Source organism: Homo sapiens, chromosome 16 (assembly GCF_000001405.40).
Source record: "Homo sapiens chromosome 16, GRCh38.p14 Primary Assembly".
Lineage (NCBI taxonomy): Eukaryota > Metazoa > Chordata > Mammalia > Primates > Hominidae > Homo > Homo sapiens.
In genome coordinates, this window is record NC_000016.10 from 17,337,608 (window position 1) to 17,364,280 (window position 26,673).

The 26,673-nt window shown below is 46.8% G+C and overlaps 1 protein-coding gene across 3 annotated transcripts in view, besides 3 other annotated features; it reads right to left on the bottom strand.

Moving 5' to 3' along the window:
• Window positions 1–26,673, bottom strand: part of XYLT1 (xylosyltransferase 1) — a 369,192-nt gene that overhangs the window by 235,839 nt on the left and 106,680 nt on the right. For 2 of the 3 annotated variants that reach the window (NM_022166.4, XM_017023539.3), the window contains exon 2: window positions 20,405–20,443. The exons of the other annotated variant lie outside the window; for it this stretch is intronic. In NM_022166.4, coding sequence (NP_071449.1) covers window positions 20,405–20,443 — 39 coding nt within the window. The remainder of the gene's footprint in view (window positions 1–20,404; window positions 20,444–26,673) is intronic. 3 annotated transcript variants of the gene reach the window in all.
• Window positions 8,003–8,504: an enhancer, noted in NCBI's record as "H3K27ac hESC enhancer chr16:17439467-17439968 (GRCh37/hg19 assembly coordinates)". NCBI's record gives its function as "activates a minimal SCP1, AML or CMV promoter by ChIP-STARR-seq in naive H9 embryonic stem cells {active_cell/tissue: H9 hESC(naive)}" and the evidence as "EXISTENCE:reporter gene assay evidence [ECO:0000049][PMID:30033119]".
• Window positions 9,973–10,062: an enhancer, noted in NCBI's record as "active region_10506". NCBI's record gives its function as "activates an Ori minimal core promoter by ATAC-STARR-seq in GM12878 lymphoblastoid cells {active_cell/tissue: GM12878}" and the evidence as "EXISTENCE:reporter gene assay evidence [ECO:0000049][PMID:35858748]".
• Window positions 22,406–22,495: an enhancer, noted in NCBI's record as "active region_10507". NCBI's record gives its function as "activates an Ori minimal core promoter by ATAC-STARR-seq in GM12878 lymphoblastoid cells {active_cell/tissue: GM12878}" and the evidence as "EXISTENCE:reporter gene assay evidence [ECO:0000049][PMID:35858748]".

Sequence of the window (26,673 nt, forward strand, 5' to 3'; positions counted from 1 at the left end):
TTCCTTAGATCTCTCCCTAGCCACCTGCTCCTTAAAAACATCACAAGAGGTTGTGGGACCACAAACCCTTGTCTCCGAGAATTCCTTCTTCTCTCCAAACTTGCCCTATTCACACATTCCCGATCTTATTTTTTCCTGAGTCCTACTTTGTCTGTTCCACATTTTTTCTTTTTCTTTTTTTTTTTTTTTGTGAGACAGAGTCTTGCTCTGTCACCCAGGCTGGAGCGCAGTGACGCCATCTCGGCTCACTCCAGCTTCTGTCTCCAGGGTTCAAGTGATTCTTCTCAGCCTCCCGAGTAGCTGTGATTACAGGCATGCGCCACCACGTCCGGCTAATTTTTGTATTTTTAGTAGAAACGGGGTTTCGCCATGTTGGCCAGGCTGGTCTTGAACTCCTGACCTCACCCACCTCGGCCTCCCAAAGTGCTGGGATTATAGGCGTGAGCCACCGCACCCGGCCCCCGTTCTACATTTTAATGGCCCTCAAATCTGTCCCCTCCTTTCCTTTCCCACTTTCCCTGTCCCAGTTCAGGCCTTTATCATAACTCCCCTGAACTGAATGTCCCCTTTTCTGATTCCTTGCCTCTAGGCTCACTTCTGCAATCCATTCCCCACGAAGCAGCCAGAGTGATCATCTCAAACTGATCTTGGACCATGCTCTTCTGCTCCTCAAACATCTTCAGTGGCTCCCCATTACCTACACGATACATCTGAAGCTCCCTGATGTGGTCTACAGTACCTGGGCCTGTGCCTGCCTTATCAGTCCCATCCCCTGCCAAGGCCTGCTCCTCTCTTTTACATCTGACACTTTGGAAAAGGCTGCAACAAAGGAGAAGTTGAAACCTACGCTTTGCCGGGCTGGCTGGAAAGACTTTATAAAGGAAGAGGAGCCTTGTGCTCCATGAATATTGTATTTCTTGTGATTTTCTGACAAGGCTCAATATTTTCATCTCTGTTCTCTGTCGGGAATGGTCTTTCGTGTCCCCTTATCCTGGTCATTCGTGGCCTGCTCACATTCACCCTTTTTTTTGGGACGGAGTCTCGCTCTGTTGCCCAGGCTGGAGTGCAGTTAGTTCAAGCAATGCTCCCGTCTCAGCTTCCAAAGTAGCTGGGACTACAGGTGCCCACCACCACAACTAACTAATTTTTGCATTTTTAGTAGAGACGGGCTTTCACCATATTGGTCAGGCTGGTCTTAAACTCCTGACTTCAGGTGATCCACCCACTTCGGCCTCCCAAAGTGCTGGGATTATCATTCACCCGTTAAGGTCATGCTGTGGGCAACAGCTCCTCCAGGAAGCCTTCCAGGAGTGTTCTAGGTTATACTGCCCACTCCTACATGATCACAGAACTGATAACACTCCGCAAGGGAGAAACATCAGAAATCTATCTTACAAAAATTCAACTATAAACAGTCAGGAGGGAAAAAAGAGAGAGATAGATGGTGACACAAATCATTTAAATAATGTGGAATCCTGTGCACCACTTGACTCTGTGAGTATATACCCTGTGATGAACATCTTGCTATGATTTCTCTCTCCATCTAGCCCAGAGTCATTTTTCTGGAATCTGTGAGTTTGGGGATCTATGGAGAGAGAATTCTGGGGGTCTTCGAACTTGTACATACCCGCTGATGAACTTGTACATATTCATAATTATTTTCACTAACTCTAACTGAAATTTAGCATGACCTTCAATTATGAATATAGGCAACAGACTGCAGTAGTATTAGCAACACCCGAGACTTTGACACCAACAGAAATTGCAGATATTTTCATGTCACATTGCTTTGGTGGCAGATGTCTCCAAATATTGTTTATACTTGTCATTACTTCAAAATTAGGGTAGTTATTAGACCTGATGCCAAATCTACTTTAATGTGTTAATAAAGAAGCAAATGTATTATTACTCCACAGTTTTCTGATTTTTATATATACTTTGACGGCTGTACTTCAATATAACCACTTTCCTTTTTAATCCTCTGCATTTTTTTGCATTTGAAAATATTCAGAGAAGGGGAGCATAATTTTGACCAGATTCCGAAGGGATTTACAACACAGAGAAGGTGACACTATCCTGCTGTAGACAGTGAGCTCACTGGTGGCAGGGCACCAGGTCCTTCATCTTCCAATCCCCAGCACCTAAAGCAGTGGTTAGTATACAATAGGAATTTTTAAAAAATGAACTGAGATATTTTATCTATCTATCCTTTTTTCCCTCCTTCCTTCTTCCTTCCTTCCCTCCTTCCGTCTTTTCTCCCTTCCATCTGTGTATCCATCATCATCCATCCATCACCTATCCATCCATCCATTCATCCATCCTCCATCCATCATCTATCCCTCCATCATACATCCATCCATGATGCATCCATCACCCCTTGTCCACCCATCCCTCTATCCATCCACCCATCCCTCTATCCATCCACCCATTCGTCCACCCATCTATTATCCACTCATTTATCTACCCACTCACCTCTCTATCCATCTGCCCACCCATCCACCCACCCATCCTGTATCCACTCATCCCTCTATCCATCCGCCCATCCCTCCATCCAACATATATCCATCCATCTGATTCAATCTACAGTTCTAACAGTTGACACCTCTGCAGTTGGTTTCCCAGATCCAGTTCTGCAGCTCAACTGGAGACTCCCTAAGAAGGAAAAGTGACTCACTGTGGAAAGAGGTGATACTATTTCCTTGTATGGCCGTGGGCATGTCACAGAATGTGCCTGCAGCTCAGCTGTCTTTCACAGGCTGAACACAGAGCTCTGTCTCCAGCTGCCACCACATGGGCTGGGGCCCCAAGCTCAGGCAGAGCGCCATGCCTGTGTTCAGATCATTTCCTTACCCAGGAACATTTTGGTTTTCTGCTTTCGAGGTATCACAGAATGGTTAAATCTTAAAGAACAATCGCCACCATTACCAATTACACAAACTGCACAGAATGGTAGTTAAGAGTTCTGCGTAGGTCCAAAGACCAGCTCCCCACTCACTCTCTATATGACCTTGGGTGACTCAGTTAACCCTTTCCTCTCTGTGCCTCAGTTTTGCTATTTGAAAGAGGGCATAACAACCATACCTCACTTACACAGGTTTATGGGGAGATTAAAGAGAATCTTCCTTATGGGAAGACTGAGTTAATCCATGCACTGCACTTAGCACAGGGGCTGGCACATAGTAAATGCTCAACAATTTTTAGCCATCATTATCCATCATTTCCTCCAAGGAGGCAGACAATCAGAACATTAGGACCCAGAATCCTGAAAAATGGAGCTATGGAATTCACAAATACCCCATGTAAAAAAATGCTTAGATCCACTCATATCTAAAATTCAAATCAAGGCAGCAAGATACTGTTTTTACTCATTGGTTTGTCGAAGATTATAAAGATGGACAATCACCAGTGCCTTTGAAAGAGGAAACAGGAAACCACGTAAGGCTTTGACCGGAGATGTGAAGAAACCTCCTCATAGGACAATATAAAATTTAAAATGCACACACCCTTTGAGCCAGTGATGTTAAATCTAGTCACTTACCCTACAGAGGTACATACCCAATCGAGCAAAGGTGTATTTACAAGAATGGCTAAAGGCAGCATAGTTTAAAATAGGGGGAAAAAAACCAATCTAAATGTCTACCAACAGGAAATCAGTGAAATAGATGATGAAATATTTAGTGCATTTAATTAATCTTTATTGAACAGCTACTACATCCCAGAGACTGTGACAGGTGCTGAAAACAGAACTGGACAAAATAGAAAAGTTAAAAATAACGACGAAGAATGATATGTGCTGACAGGAGATGAGTGATAAGATAGAGAGGAAAAGCAAGTTACCATAAAATATGTTTCAGAAAATACATGTCATAAAATATGATGTTCCATTTCAAGGAAACAGGTTCCTGCCAATATGCACATGAATACACTCATGTACACATATTAAATTGGTGCACAAAGTAATTGCAGTTCTTGCCATTACTTTTAAATGGCAAAAACTTCAATAACTTGTGCACCGACATAATACAAGTTAAAATGCAAAGGAAAAATCTGGAAGTAGTAGCAAAAAAAAAATTAACAGCAGTTATCTCTGAAGAATAGGTATAGGAAGTGATGTGCTTTTGAATCATTTAATTGTTTTCATCATGTGCTTGTATTGCATTAATCCTCTGTAGGTCCCGTATGCTCTATCTCCTTTCAGAACACATCCAGCATCAAACTATTTCATTTTTAATTTTTGTGTACACGGAGTAGGTATAAACTACTTCTTTTGGCTTTCACTATTAACACTCTGGTCCAAACCACCCCTGCATGTCCCCTAACAGATTACAACATCCTTCCCCCTCACCCATCTCCCTGTTCTTGCCCTTGACCCATTACAGTACATTTTCAGCAGGGCAGCCACCAATCCCATTTTCCAAGGCAAGGCCATGTCATTCCTCTGTTTAAAATCCTCTGAAGACTTCCCAGTGTGGAGTGAAGCAAGGACCCTTCTAAGTTTCCCAAGGTTCTAATGATCTAGCTTCACCTCCACCGCCCCTCTCTCCCTTACTCATGCTGTTCTAGCCACACCAGGCTCTGCTGGCAACCAACACACCAACCACATTCTATCTCAGGGCCTTTGCCCTGGCTGCTCCTGTTCCTTCCTCTTTCTGCAGAGCTCCACCACTCATGCTTTTGAGATCTTTGCTCAAACACTGCTGCATGGAATTGTCTCCACCAAAGGAAAAGGGCAACCTATCTCCAACTGGCCTTACCTAGCCCACAGTCCTCCCCTGCTTTGCTCTCCCATGCTCTCATCGCCATCTGACATGACATATCAACATGCATTTCTCGGTTGGGCGTGGCGGCTCATGCCTGTAATCCCAGCACTTTGGGAGGCCGAGACAGGCAGATCCCATGAGGTTGGGAGTTCGAGACCAGCCGGGCCAACATGGTGAAACCCCATCTCTACTAAAAGTACAAAAATTAGTTGGGCGAGGTGGCGCGTGCCTGTAATCCCAGCTACCCAGGAGGCTGAGGCAGGAGAATCGCTGGAACCCGGGAGACGGAGGTTGCAGTGAGCCGAGATCGCACCATTGCACTCCAGCCTGGGCAACAGAGAGAGACCCTGTCTCAAAAAAAAACACATGCGTTTCTCATTTACTACCTGTATAGAATGTGTGCTCAGAAGAGTAAGAATTTCTGTCATGTTGGCTGTTGTATCTCCAGCTCCTAAAACAGTATCCAGAACGTAGTAGGCACTCAACACATATTTATTGAATACACTGATCAATATTATCACATGATAATATGATATGCTATTGATAATTGCGATGATGAAAAGCAAATCCAGAAAAAAACTTCGAGTCCCTAAAGAAAAATGTTTATAAAAACAAAACATAAATTTTGAAAAAACATGTTTCCAGTCACAGCTGCCCGCAGAGAACAGGGTGGAACACCCAACAAGAAAGTAACACGTAAACACCTCACGGCCAACATGGCACACAGCAGCCTGGTTGTCTCAGGCAGCTGCTCTGCACACAGGACCCTTTCACAGAGTCCAGGGAGTAAATGCCAGCAAGGGTTGAACATGTTACAACGTCAGCCCCTGAAGCCACAGACTATTTTCGGGTGTCAGGCAAACCCACAATCTCCTGTGACAGCCAAACTACTGCAGATCTGAAAACCGTCTCCCTGCGGTCTTTCAGGGGACAGGCCTCCGGGATTGTGCCACGAACTCCTCTTGCTTCACGGCACCCAGTGCCTGCTGCATCAACAGCGACTCAGGCATAGGTGGGCTTGGGGTCTCCATCCCCCAGATGTGAGCTGGAGGCCCTACATCCTTTTGTGCCTCAAGGTTGTGCTGGCGTTTTAGTTTTAAAATGAAAAAAAAGAATAATTTGAGACAGGATCTCGCTCTATCACCCAGGCTGGAGTGCAGTAGCGCAATCACAGCTCACTGCAACCTCCATCTCCTGGCCTCAAGTGATCCTCCCACCTCAGCCTCCCGAGTAGCTGGGACTAAAAGCACGGGCCACTACACGCAGATTATGTTTTATTTTTTTGTAGAGATGGTCTTGTTATATTGTTCGGGCTAGTCTCAAACTCCTGGCCTCAGGCAATCCTTCCACCTTGGCTTCCCAAAGTGTTGGCATTACAGGCATGAGCCACCATACCCAGTGTGCTTGGCTTTTTAAATGAGAAGAGGAATCAAGAGAGCGTTCTTCCGTACCTCATCACACCCACAGTGAAACACTTGGCACATGCTATCTTGTTTGTAACTCCAGGTCACATGAGGTCACTTGGAAGCAAAAAATTAAAGCCCAATGACATTTACAGGGAGGCGTTCAACCAGCAGACTTCACCTAAACGTCACCAGCTCCGTCTCATTACAGTCAACGGGTGTTGATTTTTACACATTCTCTGCTACCCATACTTGGTTAGGACCGTGGTTTTCAGCTCAGGGGTGCTTTTGCTCCCCAGAGATATTCGGCAATGTCCAGAGACATTTGTGAGACAACTGGAGGAGGGAGTGTCATTAAAATCTAGTGTGTACATGCCAGAGATGCTGCTAAACATTCTACAATGCAGAGAACAGCCTCACAACAAAGAATAATCCTGTCCCAGGCCGGGTGCCTGTAATCCCAGCACTTTGGGAGGCCAAGGCGGGCGGATCACGAGGTCAGGAGATTGAGACCATCCTGGCTAACACGGTGAAACCCCGTCTCTACTAAAAAATACAAAAAAAAAAAAAAAATTAGCCGGGCGTGGTGGCGGGCGCCTGTAGTCCCAGCTACTCAGGAGGCTGAGGCAGGAGAATGGCACGAACCCGGGAGGTGGAGCTTGCAGTGAGCCGAGATCACGCCATTGCACTCCATCCTGGGTGACAGAAGGAGACTCCATCTCAAAAAAAAAAAAAAAAGAATAATCCTGTCCCAAATGTCAGTAGTGCCCAGATCAAGTGACCCCAGGTTAGTCAGTCCACAGGGTAAACAAGGTTGCCCTGGGGAAGGGAGTCCCTTAAGCACTGTAGTGAGGCTGGAGGCAAAAGAATGGGGTTGATAAGATCTGGTACACCTTGGGGCTTTTGAGATGTGTCTTCGCAGCCAACTGTCTAAGGATTCTTTTTTTTTTTTTGAGACAGGTCTCTGTCACCCAAGCTGGAGTGCAGTGTGGTGATCTTGGCTCACTGCAACCTCTGCCTTCCGGATTCAAGTGATTCTCCTGCCTCAGCCTCCCGAGTAGCTGGGACTACAAGCATGCGCCACCACGCTTGGCTAATTTTTATATTTTTAGTAGAGACGGTGTTTCACCATGTTGGCCAGGCTGGTCTCAAACTCCTGGCCTCAAGTGATCTGCCTGCCTCAGCCTCCCAAAGTTCTAGGATTATACATAGGCGTGAGCCACTGCGCCCGGCCTAACACAGGCAAGTCCACTACCTGGCCATGTCTGAACATACCCCAGGCCAGAAAAGGAGCTTCCTCAGCCTGTGGGTGGCAGAGGTGAGACCCAAGGGGCCAGCTGTTGGCCCGTTTTTATTTCCTTAGAAGATGTCTCAGCCTCTGCTACTCTGACCACTCGTCATCCAGGCAGTTCTGGGCTTCACTCATGTGGTGACGACACAGTTCATCTCTGAACTGCACGCAGGCAAAAAATGTCCCAGCTTGCTCTTGAGACAAGCACCTAGTTTGGCTGCCAAAAACATCCTGGTATTTCAACTCGTGCTGCTTCCCTCTCTGTAAAGAGGAAACCAGCTACCTAAACAGAGGAGGAGGAACATTCCAGAGAAGGCACAAAGCAAATCCCTGCAGAGAATGCCAAAGTCTTTGCCCTCTCTGTGGCACAGGGATGCAGGAGGCAGTGCATGGAGGCACGGAGGCTGGAGAGCCTCTGCTCCCCAAGCCTGCTACTTCCACAAGAGAGAAAAGGCAGGGGGTGACGCAGCTTGCATTCACAAGTGACAAGAGGGTGTCTCCAGCTTATCCTCTTAGCAGTCCTCATGGCTGCTTTAACTAGTTGGGAAGCTGAAGCTCAGAAGCTAAAAGCCTTTCTCAAAGGTGATGCACTGAGCAAGTGAAAGAGTTGGGATTCAAACGTAGGACTATGAAAGTAATACTAAGTGCTTAGGTGCCAGGCACTGTTCTGTTGCTTAATGCACGTTAACCCATCTGATCATCCCAACAAGTCTAGGAGGTGGCTACTGCTGTTACTTCAACCGTTTTTATTTATTATTATTATTTTTGAGAGAGAGTCTCGCTCTGTCACCCATGGTGGAGTACAGTGGCTTGATCTCGGCTCACTGCAACCTCCATTTCCTGGGTTCAAGTGATTCTCCTGCCTCAGCCTCCCGAGTAGCTGGGATTATAGGCGTGTGCCACCACACGTGGCTAATTTTTGTATTTTTAGTAAAGACGGGGTCTCGCCATGTTGGTCAGGCTGGTCTTGAACACCTGACCCCAGGTGATCCACCTGCCTTGGCCTCCCAAAGTGCTGGGATTACAGGCGTGAGCCACCGAGCCCGGCCTACTCTGACCATTTTTTAAAGAAACTGAGGCACAAAGGGATCGCTGGCGTGTGGAAGGTCTCACAGCAGCTAAGTGGTGAGCCAGGGGGTCTGCTGCATAGACCATGACCTGCCCCCACGAGGCCCGTTCTCACCTCCCCAAGGGGCTGCTTGGGGTTACCAGGTCCAGACTGCCCTTGTCCACTTTGCAGGTGAGACCCTAGGAGGATCCAGAGTCCTGAGTGTGCAGGGGACAGGACAAACAATACCCAGGGGACTGTCACTGAGGTGAATGAACGCAGCAGGCCAGGTGGGGACTTCTATGAACCAGTGACCCCATCCCGAGGCCCCATGCAAAGGGGCAGCTGGTGGTCACCAGTCATGGACATCCAGCAGCTCAGAGTGGTTTTACCTATCAGTTTTTCAAAAATCTTCCAACCCCACTCTTCCCCTCTCTAAAAATTTAAAAAATTTAAAAATCTTCCTGAGGCCAAAGGCAACCCATGTGCAGGTCAGAGATGGCCACGAGGAGGCCCATGGCACAACTTTGAGTCCAGGGCCATGAAATGAGAAAGTCACCTCCTGCTCCCATAACTGGTGCCTGATTCTAACTGGGCCAGTGAACGTGGAGACTGGTCATCTGACCAAGAACTCTCTTTGAGCCCGTTTTATAGCTGGAAGTTCCTTCTTCTAGCATTGAGCTGGCTGGGTTTTTCCTTCTCAGGACAATAAAACTGCATTTCTGTCCTCGACCCCACCCATCTGGCACCTGCACCACAGCTAACTTCAGCTTTCCACCCAGTTCTCTTTTGTTCAGTGGAAAAAATGAGCTACAGTTCCCAGAAGAAAATGAGAACGGGGTTATTATTAATAAGATACTCTTTTTCAGAAAGGCAGTTGAAGGCAGCGGGGAAGATCACATTGAGGGGGGAGCCGGGGTAGCCCCACTGCTACTCCCTCCTGCAGGACCACCTGGTCTGGAGAAGCAGCTACGCGCTGGCCCTCCCTGTTGGCTCTCAGAGGTACAAACCAGAGGTGGCGGCATTTCTAAGAAATTAGATTCAAATACTAGGACAGTTAACATTTCCTGGAGGTGTGACCGAGAACCAAGAAAAAGTGATTTTGTGAAGGCCTTGCTTGCAGGCAGAAATAACCTGTCTTCTCTGTCTGTCTGTCTGCTCTGGGGGCTACCGGAAGGAGCTGAAGGCCTGTCCCCCGCCTCTCCCCACCCCACCATGCCCTAGGCCTTAGTCCCTCCCCACTGAAGAATGCCTTTACCAACTTGGGACAGACAGAGGAGTATGAATGAATGAGAATACTCCAAGCTGACCCTGCCTGGGGCATCTCTTCTCACACATGTGGCTTCTCTGGTGCTTTATTTAGCATGAGACTGTTTAGAATGTTTATTTTTGGCTCAGTTTTGGGGGACAGTTTTCACAAATAGAATGACAGCTATGATCTTCTCTCTAAAAAAAGAGCTCGTACAATCCACCGTTGGGCATTCAGTTTCAAGAGCTTCACTGTCCCATGGTCTCCATTCTGGGACCTCTCCTCCACTGGAAGACCCTCTCCTTTAATCAAAACATGACACAAGATGACAGTGACTCCCCATGGCAAGTCCCATTGGCAGTGCTGAGCCAGCGAGGCGGGGGCCCGGTCAGGGTCCCTGAAGGAAAGAGATGTTACTCTCCAAACTGAAGAGACTGTACAAAGAGATTCTTTATAAGGAAAACTAACAAGGGAGGTGCTATGCACCAGGGCTGGCCACAGCCAGGAGCTGTCACCACCCTGGGGCCTGAAGGGGAGGGAGTGGTGTTCCTGGACCACGGAGACAGTAGCTGCAGCCACGGGAGAGGGCAGCCCCACAGCAGCTGTGGCCTTGCTAGGGGTACAGACACAGCCAACCCATGGAAACCCTCATCTCATCTCTTCCCACCTTCCTATCTCCTACCAGTTCCTCTACTTGGCCAAAGCAAAGAAAAGTCCTTGCTGATGAAACCCATCAAGGTTAGCCTCTGGAGGCCCAGAGAAGAAAGGAGAGGGGTGGAGAGTGGATCTGGGGCTGGGGCTTGCGGGGGAAGAAGACACCCAACATGTTTCATCTTGCTAACACCCAACATGGAGACAGCAGGAGGAGGCACAAAGAGGGCGTGCGGGGCTGTGGATCTTCCACGCTGAGCCTCCACCTCCCACTATCCCTGAGCAGCAGAGGAATCCTGGTTTGCTACTGAGCTGCTGAACGACTGGGCAAATTGTTCAGCAGCTCTGGGTCCTGGTTTCCTTCCATGTCAAGTATAAAGATGGAACCCAACAGGCCCTAAGGTATGGGAGTCACAGCCAGCACTGCAGAAGAGGGAGGCCTAAGTGTGGGCCCTCTCAATGCCACTCCCAAACTCTGTGGTCTTGGACCAGGGACTGAGCCTCTCCATGCCTCAGTGTCTTCACTTGCAAAGGAAGGGTGTGAGAGCACCTTCGCCAAGGGATGTTGTTATGAGGAAACGAGGTCACGCATATAAAGTGTTGAGCAACATCCCAGGCACATAGAAAACATGCAATCACCCCTCCAGCTCTCACGTTCCCCAAGTTTGGGCCTTGTCTACGGATTTTTACATCCCTCATACACCTGGACCTCCCTCGTGCTGCTATCTTTTGTGAAAGCAATTTTCTTCATTGAATGATTCCATTAACTAGAACCTGCAAACCCAGCCTGAACATTCTAGCATCGAAACCTTCTCTTTTAAGCTCCGCAGTATGCACAGCCCTGCCCCAAAACCCCATGGAGAAGATCGCTTCAGCTTCAAAGATCTTGGTGCGTGTGCTATTTATGCCAAATGTTAGTGATGCCTCCTCGCTGAGCCTCCGGCTCGTAAGTCAATGCAAAACCAGCCACACTGCCTTGTTGCTCAGTGGCAGCACCACGGGCTTCTGCCTCAGTGCTTGAAGTCAATGGCGGTGGGGGTGCCCTGAGAGAAGATGCGTGTGCTGGAAGGGAAATGTGAGTATGGCCTCCTCAAGGTGCCACTGCTGTGCTCACCGTCTGCAGGGCAAACCGTGCCACAGCCTGGGGCTTCAGCTACTCATCCTAGAATCCACTCTGTATGGACAGATGTTTCCAAGCCCATGTGCTCTGGATTGCCAAGTGAGTGATCTATAGCAAGCAAGATCTAATCTATATCCACATCTAATACATATCAAATCTCTGTATCAATAAATAGATATCAAATCTCTATGTCAATTCTTTGTGTCAAATCTGTCTAGATCTAATCTCTAATCTCCTTCTATATCTTATTGATATCTCTACCTATCTTGTAACATAGCAGGGAAGGAGACAGATTTCATTTGTCACCTGGCTCTAGTTTAGATTCTATCACCTACTGACCGTACAACTTTTAAAAGGAAACTTGGTCTCTCTGGCTTTAGCAGGCTCCTCTGTAAAATGGGGTTAAGGTTAGTAACTCCCAGGGTTATTTCCCAATATATGAAAGCTAAACTGCTAGGTTCAAATCTTGCTGCCTTTGCTACCTGTTGGGCAAGTAACTTAACCTCTTTGCGCCTCAGTTTCTCATCTGTAAAACGGGGATGACAGTAATACTTCCCATAAGAGATAGTTGTGAAATGCAAATGAGCAAATCCATGTAAAGAACTTAATTTAGAAGAGGGACTCGCATGCAGTATAAATGCTTAATTCATGTTACATAAAAGTGCTAAATTTATGAATGCATGTCCAATGTACAGTTCCCATCTCAATGAAACATCTATTCAGTGTATGTAATCATTATTGACAAGAGTGATCTTTTTTTTTTAGACGGAGTCTCGCTCTGTTGCCCAGGCTGGAGTGCAGTGGTGCAATCTCAGCTCACTGCAAGCTCCGCCTCCCGGGTTCACGTCATTCTCCTACCTCAGCCTCCCAAATAGCTGGGACTACAGGCGCCCACCACCACACCCGGCTAATTTTTTTGTATTTTTAGTAGAGACGGGGTTTCACTGTGTTAGCCAAAATGGTCTCAATCTCCTGACCTCGTGATCCGCCTGCCTCGGCCTCCCAAAGTGGTGGGATTACAGGCGTGAGCCACCGTGCCCAGCCAAGAGTGATCATTTTAAGTGTTCTGAGTTAAGGGCTTAAATTCAAACTTTCAATGTCTTCGGTGAAGTCCACTCCCAACAAGAAGGGGGGAATGGTGATCTCAACACGATCTATTTTTTGAAATGGTGCATGTGGCTGCACTTTGGGGAACTTGCTGGCTATTTGCGGAATGTTGTATCACATCATTCACCCTGAGTCATACAGACTAGAGAAGATCCCATGGCCAGGAGATCGCAGATCCTCTCTGAGAATGACTCCATGCTCCAAGTCCAGACTCCCTGTCCATTGAGCCAAGTCTCTGCCCAGGCAGTGGTCTGGCTGGTCACCTCCCTGCCCCACCAGGGCTAACTAGAGAGGCAGCAAATCACAGCCAGAGGAAAAGATTATAGTAAAGCAATCTGGTCCCTCCCCAAACTAGCCTTCTCTGCCCCAGAGAGGTTCTTCTCCCATAAGGAGGCTGACGGGGGAAAAAAACATATGGGCTGAGAAGCAATTTAGTCTCACCATCCTCTCAACAGATGCTGGGCACCATAAGAATTAATGGGCTGGAGACTCAGGTAAGAGCCATTCAGAAGCTTCCCGATTACTCCAAAAACTGCTCTCTGTGGAGGAAAAGGTTAATCGAAGCCCAGAGCCGGAAGAACGGAGAGGAGACAGCAATTGTGTTAATCCCAGGAGAGGGGAAGAGCTTCACAAGAAAGAAGTTTGCACAAACAAGCCTGTGGTCTATCCCTGAAAGAAGAACCAGGCCTAAATATCAAGATATTTGAAAGATCTTCTCCATCAGTCCAGAGACCTTGGCAAACCCCTCTCCAAACCCCAGCCAAGTAGCTGGATTAAGAAAAAAAAATTTTTTTTTTAACTCTGCACATTCTTTGCACTAGTAAGCCATAAATCTCTTAGGAAACCATCTCCTGATGAGGTTTCTTCTCCCATAATGATCCAACAGAACTCAGTTTTTAAACACATGATGTACATGTTCCTGTGTATCATGGGTCATTGTGTACCCAGAGTCAGTCATGTCAATGCAGGTCTGGACACATTAGAAGATAAATGTGTCGGCCAGGCATGTGGCTCATGCCTGTAATCCCAGCACTTTTGGAGGCCAAGATGGATGGATCACGAGGTCATGAGTTCGAGAACAGCCTGGCCGACATGGTGAAACTCCATTTCTACTAAAAATACAAAAATTAGCCAGGTGTGGTGTCACATGCCTGTAATCCCAGCTACTCAGGAGACTGAGGCAGGAGAATTGCTTTAACCTGGGAGGCAGAGGTTGCAGTGAGCCAAGATCACACCATTGCATTCCAGCCTGGGTGACAGAGCAAGACTCTGTCTCAAAAAAAATAAATAAGTAAATAAATAAGATGAATGTGTCACAACCACAGCCTACAGCTGGTTAAAGTCTGAACTTAAACCAGAAAGGGTGATGTTTGAACATAAACAAGAGAACAAACAAGGAAGTTGCAATTGTATGGCTGGAAGTGTCTTTGTAAAATAAACTGTCCTCAGAACAAACGAAGTTACTCCAGGGTTTCCTAACCTTGCCACTACTGACATTTGAGGCTTTTTTTTTGGGGGGGGGTGCTTTCCTGTGCATTATGGGATGTTTAGTAGCATCCCTGATCTCTACCCACTAGATGCCAGTAGCATCCTTCACCCCGAAGTTATAATAATCACAAATGTTGGGCCAGGTACAGTGGCTCATGCCTGCAATTCCAGCACTTTGCGAGGCTGAGGCGGGCGGACTGCTTGAGCCCAGAAGTTCAAGACCAGTCGGGGCAACATAGCAAAATCCCACCTCTACAAAAATTACAAAAATTAGCATACACCTGTAGTCCCAACTACTTGGGAGGCTGAGGTGGGAGCCCAGGAGGTTGAAGCTGCAGTGAACCGAGATGGAGTCACTGCACTTCCAGCCTGGTTGACAGAGTGACAGAGCAAGACTCTCTCAAAAAGAAAAGGAAAAAGTCTCAGGTGATTGTCAGATGTCTCCTTGGCGGTCAAAATTGACCTAGTTGAGAACTACTGGTTTATACTTAAGTTTAAGTTCAGCTGAACATCAGTCAGCTAATTAGCTATTAGCCAAATTTCAGACATCAGCCCCCAGCTCAGCATAACATTGCTAAGATCTAAAGTTCCTCCAGCCTTCCAAATGCTCACATCAGACATTAGTTTCACTGGATGGCCCTGAATTTAAGCCTCTCTCCTTCTCTCCTACCTCCTTAGTCCTTTTCTTTCTCCCCTGCCTGATAAAGTAATTCTTTATTCATCTTGACATTATAATGACACAAAAGCACTGAAGGAGCAAATGCCTTAATTGAATCTAAGAATAACTGGCATTATTTTTATAGGAACCCAGACATACTACGCAAAAAATTCAGAACTCTGTCATTGGGTCTTTTTGCAAGGTTAACTTTTAACTGTAAGCTCCTCAGCACATCTCACCTCCTGGGCTCAGAAGCTCAAACCTCATCTCTCCAGCTCAGATTCCCCCACTACCTGGGAGATTTTACAACCACCTCCACTCTACCCAGTCACTCTCTTACAAACATGTTTGTCTTATTTCCATCCACTTATTACTATCTGAAGTTACGGATGCATTTATTAATATCTATTTGTACCTTTTTCATCTGACTCTCCTAGAATGGATGCTTTCTAGGCAAGGAAACTTCTGTTTTTCTCTGCTGTATCTTTCACAGTTAGCACAAGGCCTTGTCTCCACATGGCCCAATAGTGATTTACGGAATAAGGAAATAGATGAATCCCTTTACATAGATACAATTTCTCAAGTATTAACTTCCATTCATATCACTACTCATTTGCTACAGGAGCCCTGTTCACAATCATCATGGCCCCAGCATCATCTTTAAATCATGTGAATGTCATTCCCTTCCCTCTAACCCAAGTTAGCTGATCAAAGAAATTCAAGTATCTGGTTGGTTTTGAAAACCCAGAAGTTGGGAGTTTTCCTCCTGATGCCTTTGATCTCCAGGTCCTGAGGGGGATCTCAGCATAAACGAAGACCTGCTTCCCTCTAACTCTAGCTGAGTTCACAAATACCCAGATTGACAAATCTTGACTCGGCAAAAGAGCTCCTTTATTATATCTCCCAACGTATCTCAGTGTTTGAGTGGAGGCCATTAGCTAATTGACAGAGAGCCTGTTGAGGGTGGGGGAAGTGAGGGCAGGAGGAGGCAGAGACACTAGAATTAAATGGCAAGAGACCTTGCCAGTTGGAGTGGATTCAGAAATGATCAACTGTCTTGGGGATCGATGAGAAAGAAAGAATAAAGTAATAAGGATTCCAATGTATCAAAACACTACTGATGCGCAGGGACATGTTTTGCTTTTGTTCTTTTAAAATAAATTTTCATTCGGGTCCATTGCTTAAACCATTTTACCCCCAAGCCCTCTGACAAACTGTCAAAGATAACTCACTGCGCAAAGCATTGAATCTTTCTATCCATCTACCCATCATGCATCTCTCTACCCATATATCTAAGTACATCTGTGGATAGTTGTGCTAGGCACTGTCTATCTGTCCGTCTGTCTATCTATGGACGTTGGATTGCATATACCAAGCCCATTTCTCCAGCTTTGCCTGAATGTTAGCAAATCTTTCTACTAGTCAAGGCAACTTTATTTTCTTGCAAAATAGGAAAGCAGTTGAGAAGATAAGATTCTGATGTCATGCAACCCTGAGTCTAATGTGCATCAACACTATCTGCTTCCTGTGTGACCCTGGGCAAGTTACTTAGCCTCTCTGACCCTTAGGTACCTCATGTGGAAATCGGGTATCACACAAACACCTGTGTAACCATGGCATTTGAGGATAAAATGAGAGAAGTCAGTTCTTGGCAAATGGTAAATGTTAGTAAGAATGAGGATAAGAATAATGCCACCTAGCCACTCACTGAACTCCTTTTTTATTTTTTTTTCATTTCTAGGTCACCTGATTCGCTGGCAGTCACCATCTGGAGACCAGAGGAGCATTCATCACTGCAAGTCAGGGCTTCCTTGGTGCCTCCCCAGGGGCAGCCTGCCGAGCCGGGAAGCTGACACCAGGGATTTAAACCTTCCTCGGCTTCCTCATTCTATTAATCTGGCCGTTAAGCAGAGAGTCCTGCTGATGCCAACAGATGCAAAGCTCTGCTGTGCTAATGGTAAAGAGCATTAGAGGAGTCCTCAGCAGCCAATCAATCCATCTCCCCCAACTCAGAACAGCTGCACAGGGACAGATTAACCAAGCGATGGCTGAGGACCGTTGCAATTCACACGAGGGAGAGAGGGATGCGTGAAGGAAAGGGCCCCTGCACAGCCGTGTTCTAATGCAGGCCAGGTCTTGGACAAGCAAAGCGGCTGATGCATTGTGCAAGGACACAGCTCTCAGTGAAATCTAACAGGCAGGCTAACCTGTGACAGCTGGGCTCAAGATGGAGCAGGCGATGCTGTCCTTAGAAGCCAAGTGCACTGGGAGAAAAGCGGGAACTGACCCAGGGCTCAGGGTACATCTGTCACCTAACCTCTGCAGAGTTAATTCTTCCAAGCTTGGCCACATCTGCCATCTTGTTCATGGCATATGGGTAACATTTGAGGCACTACTTCCTGCCAGAAAGGGACCTGACCCCCTTGTCTGACCTGCCTGCAGGCAGCTGAACAGGATCCCATCATTCACCTCACAATGGGCTGAGGCCAGCACAAAGTCAGATCTGGCCACGGGCTTGTGCCAACAGTCACAAAGAAACATTTGCACTTTGGTTGGGTTCCAACATCTCTTTAACATGGGAAATCAGAACTCGGGGAGCGAGAACAATATTCCCAGGCTCCCCAAAGACAGGGAACCAAATGAGACTGATGGAGCATCGTTTGCAGACAAATTGAAGCTCTTCCCCAATGGCATAGCACAAATGCTGAGAGTCTACCTTGTGCCATTGCTGGTTGCAGATGGAGGTTCAGGTCCCTTGGGCTAACAGATTGGACTTTAAGAGTCGCCACTGTGTAAGGAGCTGCTGCTGGAAGCCTCAGGTGCTGGCCAAAGCCACTGGTCTGCAACTCCTCTTTCCCATGAGGGTTTTGAAGGGCTGATGGGGTGGTGTCCAGAGTGAAGGATACAGGAAGGTCAAAGACAGAACCATCCAGGGATTCTGCTGTTCCACTCCCAGGAGATAAGATTTGACTTCCAGAGTTCCGGACACAGATGTTCGCCCATGGGTTTTCATAAGTTTAATAGGGTATCCTTCTGGGGAAGGATAAGGAAAAGAAGGACCATCATTTTAAAAACACACCGTGGAAGTTCTCTCATAGTCCCTGGGGTAGACTGGGTAGAGACACGTTTCCCAAAGGGTAGCACACACATCTCTGATAGGAAGTTTAGGTGACATCAGAGGGTGCGTACAGGAACAATATTTTCACAGTTTAATATCTATTTTAATGTTGTGCAAAAAAATATATAACTAGCCCTTCAAACTTGTGGTTCCATGAATATTATTGCTTGAGACAGTGTTTCTCAATCTCAACACCATTAGTATTTAGGGCTGGATCATTCTTTTTTGAGACCGAGTCTCACTCTGTCACCCAGGCTGGAGTGCAGTGGCTCAATCTTGGCTCACTGCAGCCTCTACCTCCTGGGTCCATGTGATTCTCCTGCCTCAGCCTCCCAAGTAGCTGGGATTACAGGCACATACTACCATGCCTGGCTATGTTTTGTATTTTTTTTCAGTAGAGATGGGGTTTCACCATGTTGGCCAGGCTGGTCTCGAACTCCTAGCCTCAAGTGATCTGCCTACCTCAGCCCCCCAAAGTGCTGGGATACAGGCGTTAGCCACCGTGCCAGGCCCAGGACCAGATAATTCTTTCCAGTGGGGAGCTGGCCTGTGTGTTGTAGGATATTTAACAGCAACCTGGGTCTCCACCTACTAGATGCCAGTTGTAAACCCCCCAACCAGATGAGACCACCACCAAATGTCTTCAGACGTTGCCAAATAACCACTGGGAATCAAAACCACCCCCCGGTTTAGAACCATTAGATTAAGGTAAGTCTATTTCTGAAAGCAAAGTGAGTTATGTTAAGGAAAAATGTATTTTTAGGTGACTTTATAGAATAGATGAAATTTACATAAGGCAAAGGTGGTCAAGGTGATAAGGACAGACAAAACCAAGCCAGAGGACAGCCAAACAGGCAGAGGAAACCGAATCCTTTTCCTCCTCAGAGCTGCACCTTCTATACTTCCCTGCCGGCCCTGGCGCCTGGTCAGCCCTGGGGCCCCCGTGGCTATACCTGTGTGCCAGAGAATGCAAGGACAGAAAAGCACAAGGAAACTGTGAAGATCTGCTGGCCTTCCCCATCAGGGAGGAAGCAAGGAAGGTCTCCTCATTCCTCTTAGGAGAACCCAAGCAGAGATGCCAAGGAGAGGGCAAGGACCCAAGGTGGAGGAGGCAAAGGCCAGGGGAGCAGGTGGTCTTTTCCAGTCCACCCCAGAAACCCTTGAAATCGCTGAGCTGTCATTCAGCCTTGAAACGTTCGAACAGGTTTGACTGTGTCTGACACTTGCAAGCTATTCACTGTGGGGCTCTGAACGAGGCCTGTCCTGTCTGCCTACTCTCTTTACTGTCAGCCAAACCCAAAGAGCTAAGGAAATGATTAATCCAAAGATAAGAAACGTCCCCTTCAGATCCAGCAGGAAAAGTAACAGTTCTATTGGTTTAAAAAGCTGCCACTTGCCGGACGCAGTGGCTCATGCCTGTAATCCCAGCACTTTGGGAGGCCAAGGTGAGCGGATCACAAGGTCAGGAGATCAAGACCATCCTGGCTAACACGGTGAAACCTCGTCTCTAGAAAAAATATTAAAAAATTAGCCGGGCGTGGCAGCGTGCGCCTGTAGTCCCAGCTGCTGGGGAGGCTGAGACAGAAGAATGGCGTGAACCCGGGAGGCAGAGCTTGCAGTAAGCCGAGATCATGCCACTGCACTCCAGCCTGGGCAACAGAGACTCGGTCTCAAAAAAAAAAAAAAAAAAAAAAAAAAACGCTACCACTCACAAGCACTTAGCACGTACCCCGGACTTTATAAACATCATTTCCTGTGACCCTCAACCACAACTCTGCAAGGTGGGCACTATCACTGGGATGACGTTTCAGATGCGAAGACACTGGCTTAGACATTATGTGGCCCCATGAACACTGCAGGGCTAGAAGACACAGAGGTGGAATTCCACCTGGCTCTGTTGAACTCCAAGGCCTATACTCATAGCTGCTGCACTGTCCTAGCTCCCAGGAAGGCAGAAAGCAGACAGTCAGGGCCGTGCCCTCCCTTACAAGACCCGCTGGTCATCCTCCTCCCCACACGGAAATGCCACTGCAATCACAATTCCTCAGAATGGCCTAACACGCAAGCAGATGAAAGGGTGCAACTTCCTTCCATATGCTGCCCTCACTGCCAAGGAATAAAAGTCCTCCAAGTTCAGGCATCAAAGAGTAGCATCTTCCCACTTCATGGCTCTCCTCTGTCTCCTCTCTCCTTTGCATGAACCTCCGCATGATGGTTGGGCAGGAGCGAAGGACAGACGAAAACTCAAAAGAAATGATTATGGTTCTCGCCACAGGTGGGAGGGGCACCAGACACCTGGGTGCGAATGTGCACCCATGCACACCCACACCATTGCACACACGTGTACACTATATGCCAGTGTGTATACATACATGTGCAGGCACACACACATCCAAATGGGACCAGGGGCAGCCATGGGCCTGTCCAGCCTTTCAGAGCCACGGGACAAGTCCCCTTGAGAGCTGGAATACTAAGGCTGAGATAAGTGGCCAAGACAGGAAAGATACTTACCTGAGTCTCCAGGGTGATGAGCGGACTTGGGTGTGGATCCTGTAGGATGAAAGGAGAAAATGCACGTGAGGAGTGAAAAAAAGTTAACTTACTACCCCAGCATCTTTTTCTTTCTTTCCTTTTTTTTTTTTTTTAAGAGACAGGGTCTCGCTTTGTTGCCCAGGCTGGAGAGCAGTGGCATGATCATAGCTCACTCACTGCAGCCTCGACCTCCAGGGCTCAAGTGATCCTCCCACCTCAGCCTCCCAAGTAGCTATGACTACAGGCATGCACTATCATGCCAGGCTTTTTTAAAAAATTATTTTTGTAGAGATGGGGTCTCGCTATGTTTCCCAGGCTGTTCTCCAACACTTTGGCCTCAATGATCCTCCCACTTCGGCCACCCAACGTGCTGGGATTATAAGCATGAGCCACCACGCCAAGCTCCCAGCATCATTTTCAAACAAAGCTTGATTTCCCCAGTGGTCAAGCCACCCCACGGGGAGGGCAGCCCAACCTGTGTCCTCCATTCTACAGAGACATCAGGACAGCTTGGCCCAGTCTGCAGGCCGCCCCAACACTTCCTCTCACGCACAAGTGATGAAAGAGGCTCAAGTTTTTATGAAGGAAATGCCCACATGGAGATCACACAAAACAACAAAATGTAAAGAAAAAAGAAACAAGGCACCCTTGCCAAAGAGCTCAACGTGTATCCAAACCCTCTATAAGGAGAGTTTGGCTCCGTAAGAGGATTAGGAATAAACCAGAAAGAATATAAAGTCCTGACTAGGAACAAGGCCATCATCAATTTGTGTCTGATCTTGGAAAGAACAAGGGAAGGAATGAGAGCGAGCAGCTTAATTTCTGGTTTGAGGAGCACATTCCATGGTCTGGGGAAGGTCTTTTTTTAGGATAGAGAAGGCCAGAGAAATGTCCTATTCATTCACTCTGTACAAAAGCCGATTGACTGGGAATGCTTGGTGGTACTGTCTCGGGTCATTAAGCATGAACCCTTTGGGTTGGAGGAGAGACAGGGAGGGTACAGGAGGAGGAAAAGACTGATGGGAGGAGTTGGTGGTGTCCAGTGAGTGGTTTCCAAAGAAAACAGGAAACCCAGCACATGAAGGCTATTTCTGTCTATACCACGTCTGCTCTGAACTTAATCATCTTGGATTTATAATTCTGGGAAAAACAACCTCAAGCTTCCTCTGATAGAGAATGGGCATGATTTTAGGGCCCTGAAGTACACATCCAGTTTGAAGCTTTGCTTTGTCTTAGCAGATTTTCCACCACGGGGTTTTAGGAAGCCATGCAAATTAGCACCAGCCCATTGTCCCATACTGTGAGCAAGAAGGAAATGCAGGGAAATTGGAACTTTCTAAACCCCTTCTCTAGGTGAGCTGCCATTCACTGTCTTGATGACTGTTCTACGGTATCTTTGTAATGATGCCCAATTCTGAGGAGTGTAAGAGGCACGATCTCAGAAATACGGTGAGCTCTGCTCAGCTCTGTCCTTTAGGAAGAGGAATTCGTCGTCCCCCAACTCCAATTCTGAGTCCAACTCCCAGTAATTCTCCATTGGTGTAACTGAAAGGAAACTGCCAAGAGAACATCCCACTCTAATTCTCACATTCCCCCAGGCATTGAGTCTTCCTCATACCCAAGAAAACATGGAGGGGAATATGTTCTCCCCGTCTCCCCACATTGCAGCCTTGACCTATAAAGGAATCTGGGGAAGTCATGAAGGAGCTGTTTTGGGCCTGTCTCTTCAAATCCTTACTGATTCCTTCCCAGGGGTGAAGAAGTGGCAGCTAGGATTGGTAAAACCCGACATTCATAGAGCAACTTTCTTTTGATCAGGCAGGTTTTGTATCACTCGCATGCAGAAAGAGTCTACTCTGTACTTCCTGTTTCCCTGTGTTGGGGCAGGACCCATTTTTGTCTTTGGGAAGCAAGACCATCCTCCTGGTCTGTGGGTGGCAGCATGAGTCAGACCTGGTACGAGCTTAGTGGGCGAGAGCATGCAACATCTGCTGTTCAGGTCAGAGTAGTCTGTGTCTGTCTGTCTGTCCATTCAGATCTTACCACCTCGATTTTGATTATAAGATAAGAAGCTGCATCTCAGCCTCAAAATTAGCCTCAATCTCCAAGCCAAGTGCTAGCAAAGCACCAGACTGGGGTGTTGGGTGCATGCCCAGATTAATTAAGCTGTACTTCACAGACCATTTGGCTATTGTCTGAGACTTAATGCTTCATTGCTTAGAATCTCCAAGAGGTTGAAGAGGGGAGAATGCCATCCTGACCCCTAAAAGCAGCTCCAATGGACAAGACTTTCCTTGGGAAGTCACAGGAAATCTCTGTCAACTGTGTTGACAAAATCAAAAGCCTGATCTCTAGACACAGTGAAGCATCAGCTCTCTATTTGATGTTCCAAAATCAGAGACCTTATCAGTGCATGGTCAGGGATCCAAGATTAAGAAGATTCTGGAAAGCAAAAGCACAAATGCTATCTATTTAGCATCTTCATTAACTAACTGGGAAGAAGATAAAGTCCTCACAAGGGGCCACATCATTAATACTTGGGTTTCACTTGCCAGCATCATTATGCTCTCCTCCCTCTGCACACACTGGAAATGGAAGACTCTCCCTAAAGAGCCTCAGTCCAGAGGATTCAAGGTATGACTATATATCTGTGAGGTCTCGCTTTCAGCAACATCCTCCTTAATTGGAAAGGCTAACGAAGTGGAACCAGGTCAATGATGCTGTCTGCCTAATCCATCCTATCTGTCTAAATTGGGACTCTTTGGTTTACAGTAGAGTAAATTCCTGTCCATCAGAGGAAAGCCTCCTGGAGACCAAAGGGGAATTTGCAATGTGCGTGCACGCTACAGTGGAGTGCTTTTAGAATCTTAATGCCGGTACCAGTAACCATGGAACCGCCTACAACAAGGAAAGCCCTTTCCTATCATCTATTGCAATGGCTCAGTTGGGGAAGTCAAATGGGGAACCAGGTGCACTGAATTGGTGGCCCTCATTCGTCACAGCTCCTAGATCCATGCCCTCTGGTCATGTGACTCGACAGTTCTTTACTGTGTGCTTCTGCAGCCCTTAAGCTTGGGTTTGCCCATTTGACTGCTTTGCCCAATGGGAGGTTAGTAGATGTGGCATAAGCAGAAGCTTGAAATATGCTTAGGTGATCAAGTGTGGCCTACTGTGTTTTTGCCATTGCCACAAGAGATCATGTCCCCAGTACCTTGCTGGTCCAAGGAGGATGCCAGACACGTGAAACAAACCTGTACACAATCTACAGCGTGCAGCCACGCCCCGCCTAGATCAGCCGACCCCCTGCCAACACAGAGAAAATATATGCTTGTTGTTTCAAGCCACTGAGTTTTGAAGTCATTTGTTATACAGCATTATTGTGGCAGTAACTGATATACTTTCTAAACACTGACCTCGATAGATCAAAAAGTGTTGTCACAAACACTCACAGACTCAGAACCTAAATAATACATGCTCTTTCTCTAAGTCTGCAAATGCATCCCAGGAACCTGAAATTACTACAGCTAACAGCGATCATTTATAGAGGGCCTCCTAGGTGCCAGGCCCTGTGTGCTAGCTCTATTATTACATCAAGCAAGGAAATAAGTGACCATCAGGATCTTGCATGCCTCTGAATTAGCCTTCAATCCTGTGTGCCCAATATACCAGTCCTTCTGAATTTATTATTTAGATACCAACACAACATGACAGGAAATGATTACTCAGAATCCTTTTGCCTGAAAATACATACAGTTTTCATTCCTTTGGTTTATTCTTAACTTTGTCCTATGGGCATATTACTTGACTGAGGTTCTGAACAGTTGAATACTAGCAATAAATGACATTTGTTAAGTTCTCACTATGTTCCAGGCACTGGGCTTAACTTCTATGCGTGTATCATTTCGTTTACCCCTGTAATAACCCTAAGAGGTAGATACTATCATTATCACTATCATTAGTATAGAGATGGAGAAACTGATGACCAGAGAGACTGGTAACCTGTCCGAGTCACACAGATGCTGTTGAAAGCCTGGATCTGATCCCAGCATCTTACACTGGAGAACACTGGGTTCCACTCTTTCACAAGAGCTCTGCTGGAAAATATATTATTACTTTAGACAAAATAATCCTACAATTTTTGGATAATGTCTATCAAAATCAAGAATACTTACAGCAAATAAGCAGTACCACCTTAACAAATACCGTAATCTTTTTTTTTTTACCATCTGTCTTTTTTAAAAAGGTAGCGGACATGGTTGATAGAAATTAGCACACATATCATGACTAGAAACAAAACAGTCACTTTGCCACAGCAAGGAACCATGTAAAGTTAGCTAAATCAATCCACACGTGTTTACTAAGTTCCGATTCAGTAGCTAGCTCTATGCGTGGCAGGCACCATGAGGGAGACAGAAATGAGTTTAAAGTGACTCTGTGTACACTGCTATTCCCAAAGGTAACTGTTTAAATAAGAGGCAGGAGCCTGATTACAGGTCTTAGAGCAATGAAACTTGTCTACACCTCAAAAGTCTTGCTTGTAAGACCAAGAAGCCAGGCTCAAGGCCAAAGGCTTAATTTTAACAAGCAATTAAGCCCCAACAAAGAAAGTAGAGAGAGGAGGAGGACTTTGTTCGTTATCATTCCACACATACATCAAACCTATCTGGCTCTCCTGGCGGATTCTGAGCCCTGAGCTAAGCCTCAGCCATTGGAAAGCATGTTCTCTTCCTTTGCTTTGAGGACATTCAGAAGACAGTGCTTGTTCTTTGGTGTTAGGCAATGACATTGGTGTAGAGATAATGACACTGGAACTCACGCCTTCAGAGCCAGGTATCTCCGTGAAGCCCACCAAATCAACAACATAGACAATGGACATTTACATGCTACCTTCTTCCACAGACGCTCCCAGGGAACACTTCAGAAGGCTGGCTTGGTGCCTTCTCTCCGCCAAGAGCCCTCTAATTAAGGCCAGAACTGGGAATCTTCCACCATCAAAAGATGGTGTCTCACTGTCACTCATCATCCAACCACCAGATAACTTGGAAAATCTAAGAAACTCTTCTTGGGATTGCAGATCACAGCGAATGAAAACTCACTCATGACTCGAGCCTGCTGGAGAATGTCCAGCTCTAGCCAAGTCTGAATGACCAGCCAGAAACCTAAAGGGACACTGTCACTTAGCTGCAGGCCTAGTAGTGCAGGACAAAGATGAATTATTCAGTGGGAAAAGAGGGCAGGTTTAGGGGTCGCCCCAGAGTTCAAACCATACATAACCACTGTATTCATTTGCTAGGGCTGCTATAATAATACACAGGTGAGGTGGCTTAAACAACAGAGATTTATCCTTTCACAGTTCTGGAGGTTGAAAGTCCAAGGTCAAGGTGTCTGCAGGTCTGGCTTCTGAGGTCTGATTCTCCTCCTAGCCTGTAGAGATGGTGGCCTTCTCACTGTTTCCTCACACAGCCTTTTCTCTATGCATCCCGGGTATCTATGTGTCAAAATTTCCTCTTCTTTTTGGGGTGCCAGAAATGGAGTCTCATTCTGTGGCCCAGACTGCAGTGCAGTGGCACAATCCAAGCTCACTGCAACCTCCGCCTCCTGGGTTCAAGCGATTCCCCTGCCTCAGCCTCCCGAGTAGCTGGGATTACAAGTGGTTGCCACCACGCCCAGCTAATTTTTTAGAATATTTTTAGTAGAGATGGGGTTTCACCATGTTAGCCAGGCTGGTCTTGAACTCCTGACCTCAAGTGATCCACCTGCTTCAGCCTCCCAAAGTGCCGGGATTACAGCTGTGCACCATCATGCCAGGCTAATTTTTGTATTTTTAGTAGAGATGGGCTTTTGCCGTGTTGGCCAGGCTGGTCTCGAACTCCTGACCTCAGGTGATCTGCCTGCCTCACCCTCCCAAAGTGCTGGGATTAAAGGCATGAGCCACCAGGCCTGGCTCAAATTTCCTTTTCTTATAAACAAACCAGTCAGATTGGATGAGGGCCCCATTAATTTAATGCAATCACCTCAGTAAAGGCCTTATCTCCAAATAGTCACATTTTGAGGTATTGGGGGAGGAAGGGTTTCAACATATGAAATTAGGGTGGGGGTACAATTCAGTCCATAACAACCACCTAGCACCACTTGCGACCTTGGGCAAAGTCCTTAGCTTCTGTGAGCTTTATTTTTCTCACTGACCCCCACGTAAACAGGTAGGATTATACTTGCCAACAGAGCTACTGTAACAAAGTGGAAAACAG